Consider the following 5,209-nt stretch of genomic DNA (forward strand, 5'->3'; position numbering starts at 1 on the left):
GGGCGCCTGTAATCCCAGCTCCTAGGGAGGCTGAGGCAGGAGAATTGCTTGAACCCAGGAGGCAGAGGTTGCAGTGAGCTGAGATCGCGGCACTGCACTCCAGCCTGGGCGACAGAGTGAGACTCCATCTCAAAAAAACAAAACAGACAAACAAAAAAACGATGTGTGTCCCTTCATGTTCTGGATTGCCTTGCAAGTTTTGTGTGTGTGTGTGTGTGTGTGTGTGTGTGTGTGTTTAATTTTCTACTTTGTCTTGGATCTCATAGAGTTTCCCTGCAATCCATGCTTTGAATTATTTATCTGTCAGTTCCGAGTTTTCATTTTGATAAAGGACCATTGCTGAAGATCTAGTGTGATCCTTTTGTGGTGTCACTACATTTAGATTTTTTTATGATGCTTGAATTCTTTCAGTAGTTCCTTCTCATCTGGTGATGCTAGAACTTCTACATTTTGTTATTATTTTCAGAGGGTAGAATTGTTTTTTCATTCTTTAAAACTACAATATTGTTTATTTGTTTGTTTGTTTTCTTTTCCCTTTCCTTCCGTCCCTAGGGATTGTGATTACAGAGAATGTTGGGTAGGGTATTTCGGCTTTGTTTCTTAGCCCTATGCACTTCTTCAGCAGATTTTATATTGGGCTGTGAATTCTGACCTACAAGCCAGTAAATGGTGGTAATGTGGAGGAGCTGGATGTGGCCAATGCAGCTAGGTATATACTTGATTCTTACTTACTGGGAAAAGCTCTCTGTTGCCTCAAGGAACAAACTAATCTATGGAGTGCACAGTGGTCTGAGCTATCCTCTCAGCCCCATGGAATTAGAGGTCAAGATGGGTGGCGCTGGACTCAGCATGCCCACCTACATCTCCCCAGGTGGCAAACACAAGTACCATCACCAAGGGACAATCTTGATGGTGGCCTCCAAGCACCCAGAGGCCAAGCATCCATGCAGCTGGAAACCTTCTCAGCGCTAAATTCTGTGTCTGGGGAGGGTGGGTGGCCTATGCTCCCAATCCAGGAGAGTGTGTGCTCGATATGCCTAAAGATCTGCCATGGTGTGGAGCGTAGATGGCCTCACTGAACTGCATTTTTTTTGTTTTTCATGGGAATGGTGGAACAGCTCAGGCTGCTAAACCGGGTGAATGTATGCTCCAACTGCCTGAGATATGCCTGGGCATGGGACGTATAGGGCTTCACTTCACCATGGTCTCTGTACTGGAAACGTGGGTGAACTCAGCCTGCTGATTCAGGTGAGTGGGTGCTCCAAATACCTGGAGATATGACTGTGCATGGGGTGGAAAAGGTCATGCTTCACCACAATCTCTGCAAAAACAGGGTGTGAGTTCGGGCTACTGGTCCAGGTGACTAAGTGCTCTGAGTGCTTGGAGATATGTCTGGGTGTGTAGCAAAGAGGGCCCCACTGCACAATGATTTCTGTGCAGGATGAGTGGGACAGCTCAGGCTGCCAATCCAAATGGGCAGGTGTTTTGCATGCCTGGAGAAATGCCTGGGCATGGAACAGAGAGAACCTGGCTGCATCACGGACTCTTCCCAGGAAGGGTGGGCAACTGAGAGTGCTAAAAAAGGTGAGTGGGTGCTCCACTTGTCTGGAGATCTGCCTGGGCATGCAGTGGAGGAGACCCCAGTGCCCTCATATCTTTGCACAGAAAATATTGTGTGACTTAGGCTGTCAATCTGGACAAGCAGGTGCTCCAAATGCCTGGAGATATGCCTGGGTATGGAACAGAGAGGGGCCCTCCCTGCACCAGGATTCTGCACAGGAAGGATGTGGTGACTCACACTTCCGAATCAAGGAAGTGATCTAATTATGCTTTCATAATTGTCAATTTCTCCCTTGAATTCAGTCTACTTGCTTTATGACTTTGAATTTATGTTAGTATATACATACACTTTAAGGACTGTTTTGTCTTTTGGATGAATTGAAATTACTACCTTTATGAACTGACCATCTTTATCACTGATAATACAGTTTGTCTTTAAGTATATTCCAACTGATAATATCATCACTATAACCTATTCATTTATTAAAGTATTTATGTATTTTAGAGATTGATCTCCTTATGTTTCCTAGAGTGCAGTGACTATACAGAGGTGCAATCCCAGTACGGATCAGCATGGGAATTTTGACCCATTTTCAATCAATTTATTTTCAACTTATCTGTGAACATGCCTTATAGACAACACAGAGTTAGACGTTTACATTTATTCACTCAAAAAACTCTGCCATTAAATTAAATTATAATTTTATTTACTGGAACTATTGGTATGGTTAAAATCAGGTCTAGCAGTTTGCTGTTTTTTCTTTTGTGGCTGTTGTTTTTTCATTGTTACTTTATTCTTTATTTTCTGCATTATTTTGGGTTACATGAATAATTTATTAAAATGCAATTGAAATTATGTTGTATTAGTCTGTGCTCATGCTGCTAATAAAGACATACCAGAGACTGGGTAATTTATAAAGTAAAGTGATTTAATGAACTCACAGTTCCACATGGCCAGGGAGGCCTCACAACCATGGCAGAAGGCAAAGGATAAGCAAAGTCATGTCTTATATGGTGGCAGGCAAGACAGCTTGTGCAGGGGAAGTCCCATTTATAAAACAATCAAATCTCATAAGACTTACTCACTACCACAAGAACAATATGGGGGAAACCACCTCCATGATTCAATTATCTCCACCTGGCCCCACCTTTGACATGTGGGGATTATTACAGTTCAAGGTGATATTTGGGTGGGGACACAGCCAAACCATATCATATGTGTTAGCATTTAGCTATATCTCTGCATTCTATTATAAGGGTTGCTGTATAGATTACAATTTGCACCCTTAACTTTTCTCATTCTACTCAGTGGTATTACCTTATAATCTCACATAAGCTCCACAATCTTTGCAACTCTATGGGTCTATTGATTCTCCTCATATGTTATGCTCCCTTTTATATAGTACTTCAATAGTTATTAATCCCACAATAAAATGCTCTAATATTTGCATCAAATAAGCATTTGCATTAAAAATTATGTAATTAAAAAGCAATATATTTTATTTAACCTGGCATTCACTATTTTCATTTTCTTTTCAGTTTTCAGAGTATCCATGAGAGTATCCATATGATATCATTTTCTGTCTGTAGTAGTTGCCTAGGGGGTTTTAATAAATTACCATCATCTGCATGGCAAAAATAAATGTGTTTGTTTTCTCACAGTTCTGAATGCCAAAAGTCTAAAATCTGGTTGTCAGAAAAGTCAGTCTCCCCACAAAGCCTCTAGAAAAGAATTTTAAAGTGACTTTCCAATTAATGGACCCTAATTTATATCTAGATTTTTAGTTCCAAAGGACATTAAAAAATGTAGTTTTTAGCTTTCCAGTCTACAAAGTATACAAAGAAATCCAAGAAAGATGCTGGAATTGAGGCCGAGTGTGAATTCACCTTATCCCCCAGAAGAATTAATCTGAAATGGAAACAATGTGTAGTCTAATAGAAGAAATATATGATTGGGAGCCAGAAAGATTTTTATTTAGTTCTTTAATTAAAAAGTTAGTACCTTGGAAAATGTTAATTATATCTTCCTTTATAATTTATCTGTAAACTATAATTTTTAGACTACTTCACTATAATGATTTAAAGATAATATGTTAACAGATATGAAATATTACAATAAATAAAACCTACAATAATTAATTTTGTAAGACAAAATATTATTAATGGATTTGTAGTTTCTAATAACAATGAAGTGTAGCTCTACCTGTGATTATAGGAGTGTGCCACCATGCCTGGCTATTTTATTATTTTTATTTTTTGTAGAGACGAGGGTCTCACTTTGTTGTGCAGGATGGTCTCAAACTCCCGACCTCAAGTGATGCTTCTGCCTAGGCCTTCCAAAGTACTGGGATTATAGGTACTAGCCCTGCATTTGACCCTAAAAGTGTTAACTTATTTAAAGCATCAACTGAAAAGTCAAAAGTTCAAAGTCTCATCTGAGACGCAAAGACAGTTACTTGTACCTGTAAGTCTGTAAGATTTTTTTTTAAGTTTTTAATTTAAAAGATACAATGGTGGCATGGGCATTAGGTAAATATTTTCATTTAAAAAGCAGAAAATCAGTCAAACAAGAAGGGCAGTAGGCCCACAAGCAAGTCTGAAACCCAGCAGGGCAGACATTAAGGTGTGGGTTTTTTTTTTTTTTTTTTTTTTGAGATGGAATCTCGCTCTGTCACAGGCCAGAGTGCAGTGGCACGATCTTGGCTCACTGCAACCTCCGACTCCCTGGTTCAAGCAATTTTCCTGCCTCAGCCTCCTGAATAGCTGGAATTACAGGCACCTGCCACCACGCCCAGCTAACTTTTTGCATTTTTAGTAGAGACAGGGTTTCACCATTTTGGCCAGGATTGTCTCAATCTCCTGACCTCGTGATCCGCCCGCATGGCCTCCCAAAGTGCTGGGATTACACGCGTGAGCCACCGTGACTGGCCGACATTAAGTTTTAAAGCTTCAAAATCATCTCCCTTGTCTCCATTTCCCACATCCTGGGGACACAGGTGAGCTCCTGAGGCCTTGTCTAGCCATATCCCTATGGCTTTGCTGGGCACAGCCCACCTGGCTGCTCTCCAGGTTTGGAGTCAAATGTCTGCAGTTTTTCAAGCCTGAGGCTGTACACTGCCAGTAGTTGTACCATTCTTCAGTATGGGTGATGATCCTATGCCCACAGCTCCACTAGCCAGGGCCCTGGTGGAGAAACTTATGGGGCCTCCAAGCTCACACTTTTCCTCTTTGACAATGACTCAGTATAGGCTCTCTGCAGGGAATTTGCCCTTACTGCAGTCTTCTGCTTAGGCACCCAGGCTTTCCCACACATCCTCTGAAATCTGGGTGGACGCTACCAAGCCTCTGTGGCCCTTGCATTCTCTGTGCCTACAGGCTTAACACCATGTGGAAGCCGTCAGGGCTTATGGATTGTACCCTGTGAAGCAACAGCCCAAGCTGTGCCTAGGGCCCTTTAACAAGAGCAATGGAAATGTAGAGAGCAGCAGCCCAAAGCAGCACAAGGCAGTAGTGCTCTGAACCTAACTCCTGAAAGCAGTCTTTCTATTAGGCTTTTGGGCCTGTAATAAGAAGGGTTGCTTTCAACATTTCTGAAATGTCTTTGGAATTTTTTTTTCCTATTGTTCTTACTATTAGCACTTGACTCCTA

General features: G+C 41.4%; 2 annotated features.

Annotated features, from left to right (window-relative positions):
- Positions 567–1,766: an enhancer, noted in NCBI's record as "P300/CBP strongly-dependent group 1 enhancer chrX:87990232-87991431 (GRCh37/hg19 assembly coordinates)". NCBI's record gives its function as "activates an origin of replication core promoter dependent on BRD2, BRD4, P300/CBP, MED14 and CDK7 cofactors, with strong dependence on P300/CBP, by STARR-seq in HCT116 cells {active_cell/tissue: HCT116}" and the evidence as "EXISTENCE:reporter gene assay evidence [ECO:0000049][PMID:35650434]".
- Positions 4,502–5,002: an enhancer, noted in NCBI's record as "H3K27ac hESC enhancer chrX:87994167-87994667 (GRCh37/hg19 assembly coordinates)". NCBI's record gives its function as "activates a minimal SCP1, AML or CMV promoter by ChIP-STARR-seq in naive H9 embryonic stem cells {active_cell/tissue: H9 hESC(naive)}" and the evidence as "EXISTENCE:reporter gene assay evidence [ECO:0000049][PMID:30033119]".

This window comes from Homo sapiens, chromosome X (assembly GCF_000001405.40).
Source record: "Homo sapiens chromosome X, GRCh38.p14 Primary Assembly".
Lineage (NCBI taxonomy): Eukaryota > Metazoa > Chordata > Mammalia > Primates > Hominidae > Homo > Homo sapiens.